A 22,978-nucleotide genomic window follows, 5' to 3' on the forward strand; every position below is an offset into this window, starting at 1 on the left:
TCCCTGGCTAATTTTTAAATTATTTTTTTTGTAGTGACAGGGTCTTGCTATGTTGCCCAAGCTGGTCTTGTACTCCTGGTCTCAAGCGATCCTCCTACCTCAGCCTCCCAAAGTGTTGGGATTACTGGCATGAGCCACTGCACCAAGCCCTGTAATACATTTTTAAAATGTAAGGCATAAAAAAAAAGTTTACGGTGAAATAAGGTAACTAAGTCACCCTCAAGGACCTTAAAGTAATACCAGTATCACAGGCTTGCGAGGGTTAAAAAGAGAGAGGTAAATGTAAGAGCACAGTGTGACAGAGCCATTCATCCTCTCTGCTCGGTGTGCACATCCCAGCCAGCAGCTACTCAAGGTCACTGCCACGCTGCTATGAACCTGGCCTGGAGCGCCTGGCTTAGGCTGCAGAGGGCACTGAGTGCGTGGCAGGCTCAGGGAGAGGTCAGTGAGATGCTCGCTCTTCCTCCTCCTCCTCTGGGCCTTGCCTGGGGACCTGTCCAGCCCTTCCGACAGTGAAGGAGTCCACAGTTGGCCGGCCCTGTTCTCTGGACCCTGTTTAACTCTGCTAGGGCACTCCTGCATTCCCAAACTTGGCCAAGAGGCTGGTAGACTTTGCCTGTGGCTTCCTTCCAACACCAGACTGATATCTCCCAGGGAGGCCTGCTTCTTGTACAGACTGACTGGAAAGGGAACCGGGAGAAAGTGCCGCCCAGGCTCTGGGCTTCCAACTTGAGAGCCTGGGGTACTGGAACTACGGTGAGGACCTCCCCCACCACCCCGTGTGGGTGACAGAACCGCAGGGCTTTTTGCACACAGCACCCTGACTCAGAGGCTGAGTGAGGGGCCGCGGTGTACCTCTCCCTCCTGCCGCCCACTGGCTGTGTATGGGGGATAGGTCAACCTCTCAGCGTCAGCTCCTTATCCCTGCCCTGATCCTCGTAAAAGGGGGATAACCTGTACAGAAATTTTTAGGATGGGAGTTCAGAGACTTTAAGCTACATTTATTATTTACTACAAGCCAGATGTGGAAGTATCTGTAAAGGTAAACTTGTTTAGCACTGCAAAAGGAAAACAAATCTTGGGACCCCAAACTCATTAAGCCAAAGGGAAAAGTCAAGCCGGGAAGTGGGTCACGCAAATCTGCCTCCCATTTTGATTCCTAAATAAGATGGCTACGAAGATGAAAAGCTACACACCTCCCTCATATCTTGCCCACAAGGAAATTCCTTGCGGTCCCCAAGATCTTTACCCTAAAGCTTTTCGGTTAAAATTCACCATGGCAATGTAAATTGCCCACTATCTTCATAGATTGTGGGGGGTGGGTGGGAAGGAAGACACAGGACAGAACTCAAAGTCATCCCTCTACCCATCTGACACAAATGCATATCTGATTGTTTCCTCTGCTCTATTGTCTATGTTATGCAAAAACGCAGATTCACTGAGCCAGATGAAGGCATACATGACTCTCTTCCCCCTACCCCGCTTCACATGAAAATTGTGCATTTCTCGATATCCCATCCTTTCCCCTTAAAATTTGAAGCCCTCAAAATTATCTTCAGAGAAAGGCACAGACGTGTCTCCCAGGTGTGCATCCTTAACAATGGCAAATAAACCTCCTAAAATGATTGAGACTTGCCTCGGTCATTTGGCTTGATTGACAGATAGCACTCATGCAAACCTCACAGCAGCTCTATTGGGTGGGTATTCTTTAAAAACTTTTTTTTTTTTGGAGGTGAAGTCTCACTCTGTCACCCAGGCTGGGGTGCAGTGGTATGATCTCGGAACCTCTGCCTCTTGGGTTCAAGCAATCCTCGTGCCTCAGCCTCCTGAGTAGCTGAGATTACAGGCACACGCCACCACACCTGGCTAATTTTTTTTGTATATTTTTAGAAGAGATGGGGTTTCACTATGTTGGCCAGGCTGGTCTCAAACTCCTGACCTCAGGTGATCCGCCTGCATCGGCCTCCCAAAGTGCTGGGATTACAGCGCCTGACCCTCAATTTTTTTTTTTACAGCTAAAATACATATAATATAAAATTTGGGCCAGGTGTGGTGGCCCAGCACTTTGGAAGGCTGAGGTGGAAGGATCGATTGAGCCCAGGAGTTTGAGACCAGCCTGGGCAACATACCAAAACCTTTTCTCTACAGAAAAAAATATAAAAAATTAACCGGGTATTGTGGTGCGCACCTGTAGTCCCAGCTGTTTGGGGGGCTGAGGTGGGAGAATCATTTGAGCCTGGGAGGTTGAGGTGTCATGATCATACCCTGCAATCCGGCCTGGGTGACAGAGTGAGACCCTGTCTCAAAAAAATAAAATTTGCCACCCTGACCTCTTTTTATTTATATATTTAAACAATTTTTATTTATGTATTTCTTTCTGAGAAAAGGTCTCGCTCTGTTGCTCAGGCTGGAGTGCAGTGATGCGATCATGGCTCACTGCGGTCTTGAACTCCTGGTCTCCCAGGTTCAAGCCATTCTCCCGCCTCAGCCTTCCAAGTAGCTGGGATTACAGGTGCACGCCACCACACCCAGCTAATTCTTGTATTTTTAGTAGAGACGGGGTTTAACCTTGTTGGCCAGACTGGTCTCGAACTCCTGACCTCAAGTGATCCACCTGCCTCGGCCTCTTAAAGTGCTGGGATTACGGGCATGAGCCACCACACCCGGCCTCATCTTGACCACTTCTAAGTGTACATTAAATACATTCATAATGTTATGCAACCATCACCACCAACCAGAGAGCCTCTAGAGTCTCCAGAATGCTCTGTCTCTGGCAAAGCTGAAATTCGGTACCCATTGAACAGTAACTCCCCATTCCCTTCTTCCAGTCCCTGGCAACCACCATTCTACTCTCTGTGACTTTGACTTCTCTAAGTATTTCATATGCATGGAAACATACAGTAGTTCTTTTCGTGATTTGCTTATTTCACTTAGCGCAATGTCATGAAGGTTCATGACTGTCGTAGCCTGTGTCAGTCTTTCCTTCCTTTTTAAGGCTGTGTAGTATCCCATTGTATGAATATGTCACGTTTTGTTTGTTTATTCATCCATCAATGAACACATGGGTTGCTTCCACTTTTTGGCTATCGTGGATAATGTTGCTATAAGCACTAATGTACAAATATCTCTCCGAGACTCTGCTTTCAATTGTTTTGGATATATTTCCACAAGTGGAATTGCTAGATGATATAATTTTATTCCTTTTTTTTTTTTTAGACGAAGTTTTGCTGTTGTTGCCCAGGCTGGAGTGCAATGGTGTGATCTCGGCTCACTGTAACCTCCACCTCCCGGGTTCAAGCAATTCTCCTGCCTCAGCCTCCTGAGTAGCTGGGATTACAGGTGCATGCCACCACACCCAGCTAATTTTGTATTTTTAGTAGAGATGGGGTTTCTCCATGTTGGTTAGGCTGGCCTTGAACTCCTGACCTCAGGTGATCCACCTGCCTGGGTCTCCCAAAGTACTGGGATTACAGGCATGAGCCACAATGCCTGGCCCCTAATTTTCTGAAGAACCACCATACTGTTTTCCACAGCACCTGTACCATTAACATCCACATTAAGGTGAGCATTCATTGTTTTGTTTGTTTGTTTTCTTTTTCAGACAGCGTCTGGTTCTGTCACCCAGACTGGAGTGCAGTGGCACAATCTCGGCTCACTGCAACCTCTGCCCCCTGGGCTCAAGCAACCCTCTGATCTCAGCATCCCAAGCAGCTAGGACCACTGGTGCACGCCACCACGCTGGGCTTTTTTTTTTTGTACTTCTAGTAGAGACAGGGTCTCAGCATGTTGCCAATGACAGCAATAGGAGGCAGAGAAATTCTAGGCAGACAGGTGCGGGTCCCTGGCAAAACCCCACCTTCAAGCCGAAAAGCCTGAAACCTGTGTCCCAGAGTAAGAACACCCAACCCTGTGTGCCTGCTCTCTCCCAACTGGCTCTTTCTGAATAATGTCTTTTTACCAATTGAATGTTGCCTTTTCCAAAACTACCTATAGCCCACTCCACCCCCATCCTGTGCCTATAAAGACCCCAGACTCAGCTGGCAGAGAGAAGCAGCAGTTGGACGTCAGGAAGAAGTGCCTGGATGTCGGAGAGAGTGGCAGCTTGACTTTAGAAGATGGAGGCTGGACGAGGCAGAGAGGTGGCTTGACCTCAGGGGAGAGCGACCTTCCCTTCCTATCCCCTTTCCAGCTCCCCTCTCTGCTGAGGGCTGCTTTCATCACTCAGTAAAATTCTCCACATTCACCATTCTTCAATTCGCCCATGTGACCTCATTCCTCTTGAGCACCAGACAAGAATTCAGGACACACCAGGTGTGAGTACCCAAAAATGCTGTCACATTGGCCCTTTGCCCTCACTGGTAGAAGGCAGCTGCCTCACACGATGAAGCAAAGGGCCCACTGAGCTGGTAACACACTGCTATCTGTGGATGGCAGAGCTAAAGGAGTATTATAACACACCCTCTGAGGCCTTAGGGTCACAGGCACCCACACCTGGATGCTGCCATGGGGCCTGCACAGGGTTCACTCCTGCCAGAGCAAAGAGGCCGGTTCCTCCACTCGCTCACCCCAGTTCCTGCACTAGTTCGCTTGTACGCTCCCTCCCATGAGGGGTTGAGTGGGGTGGACTGGGTAAATGAGGCACCTCTGTCACGTGTCCCAAAAAGGGGTCAAGAAAATATACTACATCAGCAAGGCTGGTCTCGAACTCCTGAGCTCAAGCGACCACCCACCTTGGCCTCCCAAATTGTTGGGATTACAGGTGTGGGCCACCACACCTGACCTCAGTGTTTTAAAAAGCATTTTTGTTTAAGAGATGGGGTCTTGCTCTGTCATGCAGGCTGGAGTCCAGTAGCACAATCACAGTTCACTGCAGACTCGAACTCTTGGGCTCAAGCAATACTCCCATCTCAGTTTCCTAAGCAGCTCGGACTACAAGTGCATGTCCCAGGCCCAGCTAAGGTGGGCATTAATTCTTAGAAGAGGGAACTGAGGCTCGGGAAGACTGATGGGCTTGCCCTGACTTGCCCTGCTCATCAGTGGCGGAACCTGGTTGCTGTGCCTCTCCGAGTCCTTGGCTTTTCCTGCAGCAAAGCTGGTGCACAGGGCTTGGCACAAACCAGATGCCCAGGAAGCGAGATGCGCACGTGCTTACGCCACACACACGAGGCCAGGCCTTGGCTTAGAACCTAGGCACCGTTCCCTCCAGCAGCAAAACCAGCTTTATGTGTGTGCCAAGAAAATCAAAACAGATCCCTCCTGGAAACCACTCATCAAAGCCCAAACAATAGTTGTTTTTCTCAAACTGGCTCCCCCTGAGAGGCAGGATTTTGGCTGTGGAAGCGGCTGCTGGGCCGAATGGGAGCATGCTCTGCTGCCGACAGAGGCCTGGCTGGCTTGGCCACATGGCTGCTCCAGCTCCGCCTGCCAACCCTTCTCTCCAGGCAGGCACCCACCTTGCATCCAAGATGCCTTCATACTCAGACAGCTGCCTCATAAAGCCCGCGTTGGGGCGCGTGATGCTGCGCTTCTGCTTTACATAGTTATATGCTTTTTCCAGAGGCCAGCCGAATTCCTTCATTGCATAGGCTATGACTGTGGAGGCCGAGCGACTCACGCCCATTTTGCAATGCACCAGGCACTTGGAATGGTTCCTCCTGCAGGGGTGGGAGCAGTTGGGGAGGAGAGATGGGGGAGAAGCAGTGGGGAAGGAGTTAAAAAGCTCCAACAACTTCATTCTCTCAGGTTTTACCCGAATCATTTTTTTAAACCCTGTAGATATCTTACTGCCGAAATCCTCCTACGTCTTAATGTTTACGGAGCAGATGTCCACGCACTCTCTAAAGGAAATACCACCACTGTAGAATCAATTAGCACACAATGGGATATCAAAAGAAATCTGTTCTGGCCTGGCCATGTTTTGTTTGCAGGGAGAGCTTCAATATTTGGCTGCCTTCAGGGACCAAGTGAGAATCTTCTCACATGGCTGGGATGGGCTAGGGGACCAAAAGCCCTTTCCTGAGACGAGAGTGGGCAGCTAACGGGATTTCTGCAAGAGCTACTCAGCTGCTACAGCAGATGGAGACAGTGAATGAGTTACTGCAGAAAAATGGGGTCAGCAAACTGAAAGCTGCAAGGCCCTGGGGAGAGCGAGATGCTCTTCAGACAGGAGGGCCAGGGAGCAGGAGTAAGGGCGGCCGCAAAAAAAAGCCAGGAGTGGAAGATGGGGCTGGCCGTTTATTTGTAAGGAGGCAGTGCTGGCCCAGGCCTGGCTGATTTACCAGATATGGCCCAGGAGACAGTGTTTCTTTAAGTATCACTTGCTCAAGAATGTGAAGGAGCGCCAAGCCAGTAAGGGCAGCACCTGCGAAACTTTATTTGTACAGAAGGCAGACCCACCAGGTGGGAGCCGGCTCTGGTTTCCTATACCCCAACCTTGAAATTCTCCTGCAAATCTCAGTGGGGTTTTTTCCCCCTAACTGCTGGTCTGAAGTTTCCGTCAAGGGAGTCTTGAGTTTGTCTCCTGGGAATATAAGGGAACTAAGATTTGGTTAAGGACACATCATGTGGCTTTGACCCAGAGGGAGATAAAGCAGAAGAGGGTGATTGTCTTGACAGCATCTCAAAGGGTTCTTTCTGTTCTTAATAAGGCAGAGCTGTTTCGCAGGGGAATAAAATGAGCACCAGAGACAGGTGAAACCGCTGACGGGCTCAGGGGCAGTGGGGCTGGCCATGACCTCCAACGTGCTGTCCTGTTTCATGCGACAGTAACTCAGGGAGGGAAGAAGGGCCGTATTCTTAGGGAGACAGTCCCAAAGAAGCTCTAAGCCCGTGTCCGTGCATGTCATCCCCTAGCCCTCTTTGGCTCAGTGACTTCCTAGGGGTGGGGCCCCTGAGTGTCCACTTGGTATCTGGGGCTTGCCTGGAATCAGAGCTGATGATGACAACTGGGGTCAAGTGTCACAATCAAAGATAGGTGGGAGAGACTAAGCTCAATAGGGACTCTACCTGGAGAGGACCAACCACTTTTCTCCTTTGGTGCTTGGAGTCCTGCGACTAAAAGCAAAGGTCCATCCCACATCAAGTCCACTCCCACCAGCCAACTCCTGCGTCTGGAGTCCCGTTAGGATCCCCCCTCCCACCAGCCGACTTCTGCATCTGCAGTCTCGTTCATTCCCACTCTCCCAGCCTCAGCAGGTTGGTTTCATCCTCAGCCCCGCCTCTCTGTCCACTTACTTCGCTTTGTTTATAAAATGATACGCTTCATTCCAGTGGGCGAGGAGGTCTGTGGTCTCTTCATCGTAGACTCGGATGTTATGATATGCAAATAAGCCAGGAAAAAAATTATCGATTTCTCTGGTAACATTTAAAATGTAATCAACCCTGCAATGAGAAAAAAATAAGAAACAAATTTGGACAATCTGAATGAGAAAGAAAAGCAAGGTAATAAAAACTGGCAGAGAAAAGAAAAGGAAACACACATTAACCAAGGGTCATATGTTCGTGGCGGGACTTTGGTTTTTCCTTAATAGCTATGTTTTTTGGTATTTTCTAAATGCCCTCTCAATGGTGAAAATGTGTTATATTTATACTAAGAAACCAAATTATTGTAAAGACCTTATAAAAAGAAAGCTCAGTTTAAAGCATTCTGGAAAATTAAATATACGTATTACTTAAATTTATAACTATTCATGACTATTATGAATATACAGAGGCTTAAAAAAATCCCAGTGTCTTCACTCTTAAAGAGCTAAAAAGCAGACTATATCCATCCATTATCTATATCCTTGGGAACTGCCTTAAATCTTTTTTTGGAAAAAGGCAAGATAGACAAATAAGTATTTGACAGGGTCTGCTAACCCAGGTTCTGTAGTTCTCTCAACTTAATCAATACTTTTACTTCTGGAAGAAAATAATGTCAGGAGTTAGAAAACATCTCAAATAGGTTTCATAATATTTAGACATGCTTAAAAAAATACCTAAGAAAATCATTAATTTATTCCCAGCAAGACGAAAGCACAGAAGAGTATGGCCTTACGTTTTAAGAATACTTTCTGTTGAAAGAATGCATCTTAACCGGTAGTTCTAAAGATGTATTTTAAGATTTGTTTAGTCTTGATTTTTAAACGTGGTAATTCTAGAATGTCATCATGTCAGGCCCACAGAACGGTGATTTTGTGGCTGTGTTGTTTTAAAAAAAAAAAAAAAAAAAGTCCAGACATCTGTTCTTGAAGGTCTAGATTGAAACATTTTTCATCCCTGCTGAGTGTTTGTCAGACTACGACAGGCATATGCTTCTGGCCAACACTGAGCGTAAAGTTGCAAGATTCCCACCAGGCCCCAAAGCATTAGCTCAGATAGAGCCCAAAGTGGCCCAGGGATCAGGGTTGCTGACTAACGCAACAGCCAGCAGACCTCTGCGTCCACACTAGGGTTTGCAGCAACTGTGCGGGGCAGGGAAGCGGGGTGGGGGTGAGGCAGCACAGAGCCTAATCAATATCCAGGCGGTCCTACAGCAATTAGAGTGTAATTTTAAGTTTTCCTCAATCCACACGATCACGCGAGACTTCGGCACAATCTAAACTCCATGAATTATTCAGGGCGTGGTGTTTGGAAGCACATCTGTTTAGCTATGCACATCAACCCCTGGCAGCCACTTCAGAGACCAGGGTGCAGGCAATTACAGGCAGGCAGCCCCAAGGTCTCCCCCTCCATGGCAGAGTGGAGGGTTTCTAAGCTGCCTGGAAGGACAGGGAAAGACAAGGGGAGGAGACTCACCCTGAGCCCTGCAGTTCCTCCAGATTGGATGCATTCCATTCAGAGCCCTGGGAGACAGATCACACAAGCTCCTGTGAGTGTCACATGTCAGCCTCAGAGCTGCTCAGGGGATGCATGGTTTGCCCTAGCTCTGGCGGTGAGGTCTTATTTCATGGCCCCATTGGCCTCAGAGAACAGAGAGAACCAGCGGCTGATATTCAAGGAGATTCCTGAGTGAGTACTCAGAGCATGAGAGGAAGGGAGGGAGGGACGGAGGGAGGGAAGGGTCCCGGCCCTCACTGGCCCCTTGGCCTTAGGGAAACAGCAAGTCCAGGAAAACCTGCTCTCCGTCTCCCCACTTCCTTTCCTAAGAGTCCAGTGGGGGGGGGTCCTGTAAGCAGAGGCAATGACCTGCGACCTCCCACCCAGGGAAGGGCACGTTCACAAGCCACTAATTAAAGCAGGAATCGTTCTACCTTCTGGGAAGTATTTTGGCAATACTGAAAAAGTTCCCACCCTCTGACCCAGTAATTCCACTTACAAAAAGCTATCCTGAGGAAATAATCAGAACTCACACAGTGATTTAGGTAGGAGGATATTTATAATTATTTGTAATAAACCAGTGGAAACCACCCAAACGTCCAAAGGGAAAAAATGAGTAAAATAAATGAGGCTGGATCTTCATGATGGAGTCTTTAAAACAAATAAATTTTGCAGAATATTTAATGACACAGGCAAATACCATGTAAGGAAAAAAAATTTTAAGAGAGGAGGATACAGGACTATATAAACATAAACAGTATGATCCTTTCTTTCTTTGTGCGTTTTCAAAGAAGCTATATATGCATTTTAAAAACCCAAAAAAACAGAAGATGGGAAAATAAATATGCCAAAATGTTAACAGGGACTACCTCTGGATTTGCGAGATCGGGAATGCTTTTTTCTTCTTTAGATTTATTTCTATTTTCAGACTTTCTGCAACATGTTTTAATTTAGTACTTTTAAAAAATGGTATCATTGAAAAACCTTCCACTCCCAAGCATTCAAAGGACATGGAACGGGGGAAAAAAAAAAAGAAAAGAAAAAATGATCACTTTCCTCTTAGGAAATGCAAACAACATAGTATCATAAAGAGCAAAAGAATCCACCTTTGTCTTCCTTGAAACTTCCTTTCCCAAGTTCCCAAGAGGGCAGACCCCTCAGGACCAGGGGTGGCAGGGCCCTGAGCAAGCTGGCAATGTGCGACACTAGCTGAATTTTCATATTTGAGGGAGAGGCCCAAACATAAAAATTCCTTTAGTATCTCTCATGGAAAAAGTGACATAAAGCACTGAACCACACTAAAAACATAACGCGAGTGCCGCTGAAGCTGAGACTGTCCTCTTGCTGTGACTGCCACCTAGTGGAGAAAGAAGGAAGGTGCCTTCTGTTCCCTTCTCACCAGGGAAATCAACAGACTTCCAGGGAGATCAGTGCCCAGGACTGCCCACACTTTCAAATCCACACATGTACATACATTTTAATCAATCACTATGAAATCTATATAGATTTGTATACAGAAATGTATTAAAAAATATACATATCTACTTATCTACATAGATATCATGACATATACATAACTCTTAATTACTTCCTACAGAAAACAAAGTCTTTCTTGTCTCTAGTAGTAAATTTACTTCCTTAGCTTTCCCAGGAAGCACTTTCTCCTCTAACAATGGTTACCATTAGTTAGCACCTGCAAAAACTGTACTCGGTGCTTTAAATATGTATTTTTAATTTTATTTTATTAAAAAAAATATTTTTTAGAGACAAGGTCTCACTATGTTGCCCAGGCTGGCTTCCAACTCCTAGGCTAAAGCTATCCTCCCCCTCAGCCTCCTGAGTAGCTGGGACTACAGGCATAAGCCACTGTGCCCAGTTTGTATTTCATTTAATCCTCATAGTCATCCCTTGGGGTATAGGATGAAGAAAAAAAGAGGAAAAGTGACTTCTTCCAAGTCACATAGCCGCTGAGGCTGAGGAGTGGGAATCCCGGCCCTGGTGGGCCCTGATTTTCATTACACCACTAGGCCTCTCTAATTTTAGTAACGTGCCTTCCTCTATAGCCTCTCTGACTTTGACAACTTGCCAGTTGCCTTCTATGGATATTCACAGCATTAAAACAATCTGAGCTAGCCGTGGAGGTGCACAGAAATCAGTACAACCCACCCAGAGCTACAGGACCCGGGTGAGGGCTTCCAGCGGCCCTGGAGCCGTGCATGGAAAAGCTGTCTGGACAAGCTCAGCGGGAGCTCCGTGTCAGCTGTGTGATCTCTCCTCCCTGTTGTTTCTCATGTCTCAGGATGCCTAGGCATAATTCTGGGGTTTGGTGAGGACACTTCCTTTAGTAACTGGGGTTTTTTAGCCCACAAACCACTTGGAAGTAACTGGATGGGGCCTATGTGTTAGTGGCTGAAGAAGACAAAGGGTTTGCAAGAGTCTGAAACACATGCCAGTTGACTACGCCAAATAGCTCCCAAACAACTCCCCGCAGCTCAGCTGGAAGCCACGTCTCAAACAGCTGGCTCAAGAGCAGATCAGCAGGCTGCAGGCCAGAGAAGGGGCCAAAGAGGGGAGCTCCTGCCAGCCAGGATGGAGGCTCTGGCAACTCAAGTTTTTTGCCTGCTTTTTCTCCCGGACTTGCTACAAACTCTTAAACAACCAGGGTCTGATTTATGTCCCCCAAACCAGATACTGCCAGGGCCATGCCTCTTACGAGATAAAGATGATCGAAGATAAGGGAGGGCTTGTCCATCTGTCCCAAGATAAGTAGCATCTCATTGTCTATAAATTCCTTGAGTTCCTTCAAGTTACAATTCATCTGTTTCTCTAATTCATTACGAATCTGTGGAGTAGAAAATATTAGGAAAAGTGATTTGTTAAAGAAAACAATCGTCCACCTCAAAAGAATTAAAGTTACAATGGAAACTGTGCCTATTTCCAAAAAAGGTGGGTGTTTTTTCTCTTTCAGAGTAATACATTTAGATACACGCAACATACATGCGTGGGTGGCAGGAATGCAGGTTATTCAGCTTAGAAGTAAACCCAACTGGGTAAAGTTTATTATTTCAAATAAGGAATTTGATTTCCATGAGATCTCTTCTACCAAGTTTAAACTTACTTTTACTTTTATAATTAAATGTCAAATACATCAAATAATCTAAAATCAGTTCTATCTTTCTTGGAAAGATATCACAATATGATTTTTAAAAAATGTATTCATTAATTAAAAGACAGGGCTGGATGGAGTGGCTCATGCCTGTAATCCCGGCACTCTGGGAGGCCTTGGTGGGAGGATTGCTTGAGGCCAGGAGTTCAAGACCAGCCTGGTCAACACAGGAAGACCAAGTCTCTTAAAAAAAAAAAAAAGATTATAAATGAACTTTTAAAATGTCAATTTTAACTTCTTAGATCCATCCAGTTGAATCTCTCATTGTAATTCATTGCATGCTTTGAATAAAAAGCAATGGAAAAAAAAGTGATCCAGGAAAAAACATGAAAAGGTAAAAAGGTAGAGAGAAATTATTCTAGAATTTGATACTTGCAGGTCAAGCTGTCATCCTGTGGAGAAATAAGTCTGCTGTCTCTTCCATAAAACCCAAGGTAATAGGGAGCAGAAGAGAGAACAAGGGGGTGTTATTAAAACAGATCAATGCTTCTCGGTGCAGTCTGTGGATCTCATGGACTTCTCCCCAAAGGCCATATAGGTGAGGCTCACAAAGGTCAAGAAATTCACTCAATGTCTCATAGCCGATAAGCGGCAGATCTGGACTCAAACTGGAGTCTGACTCCGAGGCCTGATACAATTGTAGAACGAGGCAGAAAAAAGCCTCCGGGGGCTGATACCAGAGGACAGGTAAAGACAACCAGATGTTGGGCCTGCTTTTGCTGCACTTTCGGGAGCAGGACACATGGAGGCTGCATGACCTCTGACCTGCAATGAAGGGAGGAGTTGTCTTACCTCTTTGGAAGTCACATTTTCTAGATCCTGGCTCATCATGATGCTTCGGAGCTTGGCTTTGATGAGGCGCTCGGTCCTTTCCCCTTCAGTGGGCCTGGAAAGAAATGACGTTTAGGAGAGCAAGGAGCTGTAGAAAGCTTGTGGTCGGAGGTTACAGGAATGCCAGATGCTCCTGGGTCTAAACAGAACACGGCTTGGCAAGGAGAGCACGCTTCTTGGTGTGCATGTTCTCAGGCAGCAGGGAGAGGTGCACAGAAAACCCGCTGCAGCTCTAGAACTCCCACGGGAGTCAACAGAGCAGGGAGCAGGTCAAGCGGGGAGAGGACAGTGTGGAAACTCCTTGCTCAGACGCTCTTAGGGCAGGATGCTGGGATGCCCAGCGCAACATCCCCAGGCCCCTGGGCCCTTGAGTCTCTGCTCGAACACGTGTGGGCATGAGGACCTCACTGTCTGAGGCAGCCCGGCCCAGCTGCAGCAGATCCCATTATCCCCTTTTTCCTCAGAATCAAAATCTGGGTATTTCCCTGCTCTGGTTTTAACTCTAGGGGACACACAGACCAGGATAATCCTTCTTCCCCATGAGGAATCTTCAAATATTCAAAGGCAACTACCCTTCCTCCGTGATTTCAAGGCCCTCTCCTAATGTGGCTTCCCATCCCTCAGGTCTCTGCCCTCTGAACACACTGTGGTTTATCCATAGTCTTCCCAAAATGCAGTGTCCTGGAGGAACACCACACTGTGGGAGCAGGGTCCTGACCCCGAGGGGAGGGGCGACCAGCATTCTCCCTAACTAGACTTCAGCGAGTGTGGCCTCTCCATGTCAGCGCTGTCGTAGGTCACACGACACAGGTCATGTGGTTCACCATGGCTGCTGCTAAGGCAGGCTGCCCTCACCAGTTGTGTTTTTGGATCCAAGGAAGCAGAGGACACATTCCTAACTCTCCTCAGAGCAGAGCGGGAGGCTCTGAGAATTAAGTCTCTGGTAATCTGAAGAGAAAAGGCCAGACCACAGAGCTCTGGAAGGAGTTGGGGACACAAAGGGCCACACATTCCTTTGAGAGTCTGATGGGAGTTACGGACCCCGTCCCCAGAAATGCATTCACCAAATTCATCAGTAATTTTTTTTTTTTTTTTCTTTTTTTTGCATGGGACAGGGGCCTGTGTCACAGACCCCTGCTTTAAACGCTGGTTCTGAGAAAGCTAGGGTTCTCACTCAAGGGACTCCAGGGGAGGTGTGGCCCAATGCAGGTTCAGGGTCGGGCACAGGGCAGGTGGGGGAGAGGCAGGTGCCTGTGGGCTTGGGTGCGCTCACACCAGAGGCACCTCACTTACTTGTCCACAAATAGCGCGGGGGAGTCGGGCCGCGTAGACTCCAGGTCCTGCATGGCGTTCCACTCGTTGATGCAGCTCTGCTCGGAGCTGATGCAGCTCTCATAGTAGGTAGCCCAGATGAGAGCTACACCCCCGGGGAAGTAGTTGTGCCTCCGGGCCACTTCGCAGGCCTTGTGAAGCACCTGCAGGGCAGACCTGGGGCGAGGAGAAGACAGGGTCAGGCCTGGGAAGGCACAAGAGATGCAGGGTTTTCTCCTCTGACAAAGGGGTTCAAATACGGGAAGGGAAGGGCAATGATTGATTGGTTGATTATTTCTTTTTGGGACAGAGTCTCGCTCTGTCACTCCCAGGCTAGAGTGCAGTGGCACGTTCTCGGCCCAATGCAATCTCCGCCTCCTGGGTTCAAGCAATTCTCCTGCATCAGCCTCCCGAGCAGCTGGGACCACAGGCGCCCACCACCACGCCCAGCTAATTTTTCTATTTTTAGGAGAGACAGGGTTTCACAATGTTGGACAGGCTGGTCTTGAATTCCTAGCCTCAAGTGATCTGCCCGCCTCGGCCTCCCAAAGTACTGGGATTATAGGCGTGAGCCACCATGCCCGGCTGAGAAGTGCAGTTTGTAAAGGGCTCACTCTTGGAGTCACACTTACACATACAGGCGGCTGGGGAATGCATATAGCCTGAAACATTCAGCCCGCCAGGACACGGAGCTAGTCCTTGGGACATATTCACTGATTGAATCTAAGAGTGGCCAGAACACCCCACATTATTTCCAAAGAGCAGCAGAAACAAACAACAACAAACTACTTCATAACTCTTCCAATCAGGTGGTTCACGGGTTATTTTACAACCCATCAATTAACTCCAGAGAATTAAGAACTGCTCCTGAAGCGTGGTAACCCTGAACATATGTTCATATGACCCACATTGAACCTAAGACCCACAATTAAGCTTAGCAGCTGGAAGAAAAAGTCTTTAATATGCAACAGAGACATCTGCCTGCATTCTAAATAATTACATTTCCACCCATCCCCCCATCAACATTCTAATAGCTTAGATGCTTAGATTTCTTAAGAAAACAAGTTCTAGAAAGTCATTTTAATATAGAAACTAACTGAAGAGGTTTGGGGAGCAGACTGGGAAACAATATTAAGAATCTATGTTTTATTTAGTCACCCTCTTTTACTTCTTTTTTTTTTTTTTTTTTTTTTTTTTGTTTGAGAGAGAGTCTCACTCCATCGCCCGGGCTGGAGTGCAGGGGCGTGATCTCGGTTCACGGCAACCTCCATGTCCTGGGTTCAACTAATTCTCTTGCCTCAGCCTCCTGAGTAGCTGGGACTACAGGTGTGTACCGTCACACCTGGCTATTTTTTGTATTTTTAGTACAGACAGCATTTTGCCATGTTGGCCAGGCTGGTCTCAAACTCCTGACCTCAGGTCATCCACCCACCGTGGCCTCCCAAAGTGCTGGGGTTACAGTTGTGAGCCACCACGCCTAGCCCATTTTACTTCTTTTTACAAAAATATAGGCTGAGGCCAGGTACGGTGGCTCACGCCTGGAATCCCAGCACTTTGGGAGGAGGCTGAGGTGGGAGGACTGCTTGAGGCCAGGAGTTTGAGACCAGCCTGGGCAACATAGTGAGACCCCATCTCTACAAAAAAAAAAATAGAAAAGTTAGCCGGGTGTGGTGGCGCATGCCTGTAGTCCCAGCTACTTGGGAGGCTGAGGCAGGAGGATCACCTGAGCCTGGGAGGTCAAGGCTGCAGTGAACCATGATCACACCACTGCACCCCAGCCTGGGTGACGGAGCAAGACCCTGTCTCAAAAAAAAAAAAAAACGAGAAACCCCAAACCCCCCAACATTGTGAATATACTTAATGCCGCTAAAAATTGTGCCTTTAAATATGGTGAAAATGATAAACTTTATGTTACATGTATTTTGCGCCTCCCTCAACATGCACATACGTAACGAGCTTCTTGGTAGAAGGGGTTTTTCTATTCATGCTGTCGGCTAAGAAAATATTTCTAGGGAGTTAAAAGTCCCTAAAACCACACTTACCACATGGCCTGGACAGACACAGGCTTAAATATGTGCATCCTTCCTGCTGTGCTCACGCTGAACCCACTGAGAATAAAACACAGAGAGAAAGGTATCTGTGGTGAGAAATCAGCGCCTTGAGTGAAATCACTCTGGGAGGAGGGAGCCAAACCACTGCGCACGCTGGGAACAAGCACATCTCAGGCCACATGATGAGGGATTTTACGGAACCCGCTTTCGCAGAGACATGGGCAAGGGCAGAAAGAGACACATTCCCAGATGAGGAGGGCTTGTTTTTAACCCAGCACTGCGAGTTCCACCAAAAACTGAAACCCTAGCAAAGGGTGCCAGGTGAAGGCCTCCGAGAGCGTCTCTCTATGTTCCAACGTGGTTCCTGCCTCCCTGCCACCTCCTGTCCCACAGGCCCGGCCGTTCCTTTTTGTAATTGCATGGAAACTATATTCATAGGATTGCACGGAAAATAATCAATATATAAAAATATCTATTAATACATTAATATAAATATGTTAATATAAAATACTAATATAAAATATAAAAAATTAATACAAGCCAGGGGTGGTGGCTCACGCCTGTAATCCCAGCACTTTGGGAGGCCGAGGAGGGTGGATCACCTGAGGTCAAGAGTTTGAGACCAGCCTGGCCAACATGGTGAAACCCCGTCTTTACTAAAAATACAAAAATTAGCCAGGCATGGTGGCAGGTGCCTGTAATCCCAGCTATTCGGGAGGCTGAGGCAGGAGAATCACTTGAACCCAGGAAGTGGAGGTTGCAGTGAGCCGAGATCGTACCACTGCACTCCACCCAGGGTGACAGAGTGAGACTCCGTTGAAAAAAAGAGAAAAAAAAATTAATACAAAGATATTAAAATTAAAAAGGAAAAATATCCCCATAACCCCATCACTTAAACAACAAATCAAATTTTTATTTTTCTCTTCCCATCCTACAAGGCAACATAACTCTGACCTGCTTAGAATCCCCGTGTCAGGCCACTTTCCTATTCTGTTTCTTCCCACTCCTCACCGTGCCCACACACCTTCCTTGGGAGTGAACGCGTGCGGACGCTAGACGGCCCCTCATCCCCCGACTGCCTGCCCGGGTGGAACTGGTTCATTCCTCCTTTGTGGCCCCCAGGGTGGCGCTTGAAACCTTGTTGTGCCTGTCAGTTGTATGTCTCTCCTTGTACCCCCAAAGCTGGTGAGTTCCTGCTGCACCACATTAGTCCGTGAACTTTCAGGACAAGCCCCATGGAGGGCATGCGGTGAGAGTTCACTTAACCCATCGAGGTGGCGGATGGGTATCGGTTTACCGCTGTCTTGAACTTCACACAGCAGCATATCTCCTGTAATCACTCCCACTGATACTTCATGAGCTAAACTCCCCAATCAGACGTCCAAAACATACCCTCCCTCGTGCCCTCTCACTCGAGGGCAATATGATTTCTCCCGCTGTGACACTCCCGCCACACGTGTCATTCAGTGCTAATGATCATCCAAGGATGCCTGAACCAGCTCGTGTTTTCAATGCCTACTACATACAGTGAGAGAATCTTTTAAAGAGACCTCCTTACCCATCTCCATCAAGGTGGATTTTCGTGTCGCTCCACAGTCGGAGAACCATCCCAATGGTGCAGCTTTTACTGCGATGGGGGAGAGAAGACATGTGGAGTCAGCGTCTACCCACCTACGTGTACAGCCTTTCCAGCTCACCACCTGGTCCAGGACGGGCTGTTGGACGTACGTGTGGGAGTAGGCTGTCTGCATAGGAACCGTTCACTGATGAATTCTAGAAGACACAGGTCTGGGATGGCCCTGTGGACACAACTCCGTAAGTGCTCAGCTGAGGCTTTTGGGTGCAGTGTGGGCTGACCGCACGCCCACTCTACAGCAGGGAGGCAGCTGCCCAGGGCTGGTGCTCTGCTGGCGGAGGCCACATGTGTACTTGGGGGTACATAGGCAAGCACCGGCAGCCAAGCCCGGCCTGGCCTGTCCTGGGTGGCGGCAGGGGGAGCGTGCTCACACCGTTCCCGGAGCTCACTTTCAGACCTGTGCACCTGCGCCTTTAGTGTGGCTGCGGTTTTACAATCTCGCTTAATCTGGTTTTGTTTTGCCCATCCTACCAGTGAAATGAGACCGAATGACTGCAGAGACTGGCGCCACTGAAAAACAGAGGGAAAGAAAGGGCTTATCGGAGAGTCCTCAGATTATGATGAAAATTCTTCAGGCATTTAAAAGTCGACTTGTGAGAAGCCGCTGTAACCGTGCCAAGAGCCAGCTCTGTGGACCTCAGGAATCTCATGCTTCCATCTCTGCTGCTGCCAACACCACGGTCATGTTTTATGTGTGCCCGTGTGAATGGGGCCTCTGGGGATCACAGACCCAGCTCCCCTCCCAGGTAGCGCCCTGCCCCATGCAGGACTCTTCTCAACCCCATGCTTCTATATCTGTGGGGAAGGTTGTTCCAAGCCCTTCCGGCCAATGACACTCAGGCTTTTGGGTTGGGCAAATTCTCAGGTCCCTCCGTGCCATCCTACCCACTCTGGAGGGACTAACTAGTATTTCTCTTATAGCACTGAAAAATAAAATTTATTTTGGGCCTCACAGAGCTCTAGGGACCACGTGGCTGTGTCAGCCCCAGGAGGAGGCAAGGAAAGGGTCCCTATGGAGCCCAAATCCGACAGGCAGAAGCCAGGTCAGATGGTGCCCTGAGAACGTGCAGTCTAGAAGACCCAACCTGAGCCCTGACAACCCTCACCAGGAACTCATAAGGAGGTGGGTACAGCACAGAGAGCTGCAGAGAGCACAGGACGGGGGCAGGGCCAAGGCCAGGCCTAGGCCAGGGGCGGGGCCTTCCAGGGCAGGCGGAGGTCAAGGGGGCAGGGATGAGACTGCCCATGGGAAATAAGGGGCACATAAAACCATGTGGAACCTAAGCCCCTAGGCCGGCCTCCCTTGGACAGAGATGCGCAAGAGGCTCAGCCCACAGGGGACTTCTGCTCACGGCCTTCAACTAGAGCCAGGAGCATGGAACAGGGACCATACAGGACTGCAACAACTGCACGCATCTCCTATCATCCCCTAGCTGTTACTTTTGTGAGTTTCCAGCAGTCCTACAATGATTAACAATAAGATTTCTACAAGGAAGGAAGACCCATGGGAAGCATATTTTTCTTTTCTTTTTTTTTTTTTTTTGAGCCAGAGTCTTGCTCCGTTGCCCAGGCTGGAATACAGTGGTGTAATCACAGCTCACTGCAGCCTCGACCTCCAGGGCCTAATCAATCCTCCCACCTCAGCCTCCTGAGTAGCTAGGACCACAGGCACATGCCACTATGCCCAGCTTTTTAAAAAAAACTTTTTTGTACAGATAAGGCCCCACTATATTGCCCAGGCTGGTCTTAAACTCCTGGGCTCAAGCAGTCCTCTTGTCTCCACCTGGGGAGCATACATGGGAAGCAGGAAAGGGATACATAGTAAGGGAAGCTGAATCTTTTTAGAGGAAGAGTGACCCCAAAGGATAAAGTGGGTGGGAGCAATTGCAGAAGAAGAAAGCAGGCTCCAAGTTCCTAGGGCCTGTATGGCGGGAACAGAGAAGCCAGATGGGTCTGGAGGTCCAGGCAGGAGACCAGCCTGTTCCAAGACCCCATCGTGGAGTCCTTCACCAATGGCAAAACACTGATGTGTGGATGGTGGTGTACACTCATGGCATTCAAAATGTTCCCAATCCGAATCGAAAACATAATCCTGCTCGGGTGTGGTGGCTCATACCTGTAATCCCAGCACTTTGGGAGGTGGAGACAAGAGGACTGCTTGAGCCCAGGAGTTTGAGACCAGCCTGGGCAATAGTGATTTTTTTAAAAATTATATATAAAAAAAAATTAGCTGGGAATGGTGGCATGTGCCTGTGGCCTCGGCTACTCAGGGGGCTGAGGTAGGAGAAATGATTGATTCTGGGAGGTTGAGGCTGCAATGAGCCTTGATTTCACCACTCCAGCCTGGGTGACAGAGCGAGATCCTGTCTCCAAATTAAAAAAAAAAAAAAAAAAGGAAGGAAAGGGAAGGGGAGGGGAGGGGAGGGGAGGGGAAGGGAAGGGAAGGGGAAGGGAAGGTGAAAGGGAAGGGAAGCGAAGGGGAAGGGGATAGGGAAAACAGGAAAAGAAAGAAGAGAAGAGAATAGAATCCACGATTGAACCCTAAGGTGGCATGGCTGCTCTGGTCTTCCCAGGATGCGTATGCAGATATAAGACTCTGAGTGAGGCCGGGTACAGTGGCTCACGCCTGTAATCCCAGCACTATGGGAGGCCGAGGAGGGTGGATCACTTGAGGTCAGTAGTTCGAGACCAGCCTGGCTAACATGGTGAAACCCTGTCTCTACTAAAAATACAAAAACTTTCCAGGCATGGTGGTGCATGCCTGTAATCCCAGCTACTCAGGAGACTGAGGCAGGAGAATCGCTTGAACGCGGGAGGCAGAGGTTGCAGTGAGCCAAGATCGTGCCACTACACTCCAGCCTGGGTGATAGAGTGAGACCCCATCTTAAAAACAAAAACAAAAACTTTGAGAGTGCGCAAGCCTGCTGCAGGAGCCGCCATTCCAATGCTGCCTTCTGGAGAAGCGTTGGACTCTTATGAAGATGCCCTTTGGGGGTAATGCTTGTCTCTTCCTTTTTTTTTTTGGCAGGGGGAATAAAAAAATAAAATCCCAAGGAAGGAATTTAGAAAAAACAAGTACATTGCTCCCTCAGCAGGCCAAAGGCTTCTGGCGGGGACCTGGACTTTTTTTCAAGCCAGGAAGGAAGACAACAGCCTGGTGCCCGGGCAATGTGGGAGCTGCAGGAGAAGGCCCAGTTCCCAGCCCCCGGGATTCCCTGGGCACAGAAGGCAGCTGTGTCAGGCCCAGCGACAGGAAAGACTGCTTAGTTCCGGTTCCCATCAGGCCCCTGCTCATCTTGGGTGGCCTCTCAACCGCCCTCTCCAACCTCAGAGACCTGCCCTGGCCTTGGGGTCGGTGCCCACAGGTGGGCCGTGGCTCCTGCTCAGAGGGTGCAGAGACTCGAACTTGAGGGAAGAGCATGCAGGAGAGGCGAGGGAACCACAGGGAGAGGGACCTGGGAGAACTGAAGTCGGGGTGCCGAGGGGAGGCAAAGGGAGGAGAGGGTGGGAAGGAAGAGCGCCATGGGGGCGGTGCGGACGAGCGCACGGGCCAGTCTCCTCCAGCCAGGCAGCAGCGGAGTGGGATGCGCATGTGGGCATCTAAGGCATGCCCGTGACTGCTGGCCTGTGAGCTCTGTGAGACTGTAGGTGTGTCTGCCGTGCTCCCTGATGTGGCCCCAGCACCTGGCGGGGCGCCCGGCACAGGGAAAGAGCTAGCAAGTCCATACATGATAAACCTAGGAGTGAATGAATGAGCAAGGTGGTGTACAGGAAGAGAGCTGCAGCCTGCTGGGAAAGAATGAGTGGCATCTACTCATTCAGCAGGTCGACAGGAAAAGCCCTGCCTCCAAGTCCCAGCCCGGCCACTAACCGGGATGACCCTGGGGTAATCACTGCAGCCTCGTGAGCTTCTGACTGTCATGTGTAAAATCTGAGGTAGCACTACCCACCCCAGGGGGATGAAGGGGTTAAATGAGATGTTCACAGAGGCATTTTGTAGGTGTGCTGTACTCTACAGTCAGGAGGACTGGGCTTCCACACTGCTCCCACGGTTAGGATCAAGACATTGGGCACAGGCCATGGGAGGCCGATTTCCGTTCGGGATCAGAAAGCATTATTGGAACAGGCCACACTTGCGAGGGAAGTCCCTGCCTCAGAAAGATTCAGAAAAGCTAGACAGTCACTGGAAGAACAATTACAACCGCAAGACGGTCAAACACTAAACACCGCTATGCCTCAGAACCGTACAGATAATGGCCAAATAGATGGGGCTCTGGGCATTTCTGAGAGCACCTGCCTGGTGGCACCCCATCCTAATGGACCATGCCCTCCAGTCTCCAAGTGGCTCTTCAGAGCTCACATCCGAACACCTCCTATGCTACAGGTTCTTCTAGCCCCAGGTTCCCAACCACCCCAAGGCCACAGAGGCCAGCCCCAACTCCATCTTCTACATGTGTCACAGGAAACTTTCTCATAGTGCTATTTATTATGTACTGCGGGGGTGGGGGCCATGTCATAAAAGAAATGTCCTCCCTTTTTTATTCATCTCCTTCTAACAAGCATCAAAGTCTCAGTCGCTAGCATGTGACTTACAGAAGCTCTCATGGGAACAAGACAAGACCATACTGTTACCGTGACACTCACGGCCTCCCTGACTGGTTTCTGCTGTTGATTCTGCCTCAAATGCTCCTCAAATGCACCTTGCTGCTCCGCCTCCACCCTAGAGCTCGCCTGACTGCCCACTTGCCCGTTAAGAGTCGGCTTAGGCTTCACTCCTGCCAGAAAGGTCCTGCCAGGTGCTCTCAACAGTCACCCCCTCCTGTGGTCTCACAAAACCCCAGCACCTCTCGGTCACTCTCTCCCTCCTATCTGGTTGTGACTGTCTTCCATGCTCACTTAGAAGCTCTCTGAGGCCAAGAACTGTGTGTACTGTTGCTTCTTTGTTTACCTGGGCCTAGCCCATTGCCTCATACACAGGAGAATGCAAATAAATCATATGCTTAATGAATGAGTCGATGAATGAATGATGAATAAAGGGAATCTAATCTAGTTTTAACAAATCCAGGTTTTGCAATGATCTCACAGGCATTCATTTATCTTGTGATGTCAGGGGAGTGACTCCACCCTCATTTCACACGCATCTTGGGGTCAATGCTCTAACTTACTTGGCCTCCAGTTAGTGGGAAA

General features: G+C 48.8%; 1 protein-coding gene and 1 long non-coding RNA gene across 19 annotated transcripts in view, besides 5 other annotated features; one reads left to right on the plus strand and one right to left on the minus strand.

The window, feature by feature from the left end:
* The window catches only part of SSH1 (slingshot protein phosphatase 1), a 79,393-nt gene that overhangs the window by 15,356 nt on the left and 41,059 nt on the right, over positions 1–22,978 (minus strand). For 11 of the 16 annotated variants that reach the window (XM_047429022.1, XM_005268985.3, NM_018984.4 and 8 more), the window contains 8 exons: positions 17,714–17,782; positions 16,147–16,212; positions 14,087–14,281; positions 12,755–12,848; positions 11,510–11,638; positions 8,776–8,822; positions 7,234–7,380; positions 5,454–5,654 (listed from right to left, as the gene is read on the minus strand). In XM_047429022.1, the coding sequence (XP_047284978.1) occupies positions 5,454–5,654; positions 7,234–7,380; positions 8,776–8,822; positions 11,510–11,638; positions 12,755–12,848; positions 14,087–14,281; positions 16,147–16,212; positions 17,714–17,782 (948 nt within the window). Of the gene's footprint in view, positions 1–5,453; positions 5,655–7,233; positions 7,381–8,775; positions 8,823–11,509; positions 11,639–12,754; positions 12,849–14,086; positions 14,282–16,146; positions 16,213–17,713; positions 17,783–17,883; positions 17,954–22,978 lie in introns of those variants that run through there. The other 5 variants (XM_047429023.1, XM_011538499.2, XM_047429024.1 and 2 more) reach the window with 3 other exon arrangements.
* Positions 487–997: an enhancer, noted in NCBI's record as "H3K27ac-H3K4me1 hESC enhancer chr12:109187809-109188319 (GRCh37/hg19 assembly coordinates)". NCBI's record gives its function as "activates a minimal SCP1, AML or CMV promoter by ChIP-STARR-seq in naive H9 embryonic stem cells {active_cell/tissue: H9 hESC(naive)}" and the evidence as "EXISTENCE:reporter gene assay evidence [ECO:0000049][PMID:30033119]".
* Positions 4,819–5,320: an enhancer, noted in NCBI's record as "H3K4me1 hESC enhancer chr12:109192141-109192642 (GRCh37/hg19 assembly coordinates)". NCBI's record gives its function as "activates a minimal SCP1, AML or CMV promoter by ChIP-STARR-seq in naive H9 embryonic stem cells {active_cell/tissue: H9 hESC(naive)}" and the evidence as "EXISTENCE:reporter gene assay evidence [ECO:0000049][PMID:30033119]".
* Positions 8,050–9,003: an enhancer, noted in NCBI's record as "NANOG-H3K27ac hESC enhancer chr12:109195372-109196325 (GRCh37/hg19 assembly coordinates)". NCBI's record gives its function as "activates a minimal SCP1, AML or CMV promoter by ChIP-STARR-seq in naive H9 embryonic stem cells {active_cell/tissue: H9 hESC(naive)}" and the evidence as "EXISTENCE:reporter gene assay evidence [ECO:0000049][PMID:30033119]".
* On the plus strand, positions 8,584–22,799 carry LOC101929204 (uncharacterized). 3 transcript variants are annotated; one of them, XR_007063451.1, is made up of 5 exons: positions 8,584–8,988; positions 17,752–17,970; positions 18,266–18,537; positions 18,747–18,914; positions 20,820–22,799. It is a non-coding gene; the product is annotated as an uncharacterized LOC101929204 (long non-coding RNA). The 3 variants fall into 3 exon arrangements; XR_945329.3 differs by having other exon boundaries at positions 18,266–18,914; XR_007063452.1 differs by lacking the exon at positions 18,747–18,914.
* Positions 12,048–13,247: an enhancer, noted in NCBI's record as "CDK7 strongly-dependent group 2 enhancer chr12:109199370-109200569 (GRCh37/hg19 assembly coordinates)". NCBI's record gives its function as "activates an origin of replication core promoter dependent on BRD2, BRD4, P300/CBP, MED14 and CDK7 cofactors, with strong dependence on CDK7, by STARR-seq in HCT116 cells {active_cell/tissue: HCT116}" and the evidence as "EXISTENCE:reporter gene assay evidence [ECO:0000049][PMID:35650434]".
* Positions 20,645–21,248: an enhancer, noted in NCBI's record as "H3K4me1 hESC enhancer chr12:109207967-109208570 (GRCh37/hg19 assembly coordinates)". NCBI's record gives its function as "activates a minimal SCP1, AML or CMV promoter by ChIP-STARR-seq in primed H9 embryonic stem cells {active_cell/tissue: H9 hESC(primed)}" and the evidence as "EXISTENCE:reporter gene assay evidence [ECO:0000049][PMID:30033119]".

Source organism: Homo sapiens, chromosome 12 (genome assembly GCF_000001405.40).
Source record: "Homo sapiens chromosome 12, GRCh38.p14 Primary Assembly".
NCBI classification, from domain to species: Eukaryota; Metazoa; Chordata; class Mammalia; order Primates; family Hominidae; genus Homo; species Homo sapiens.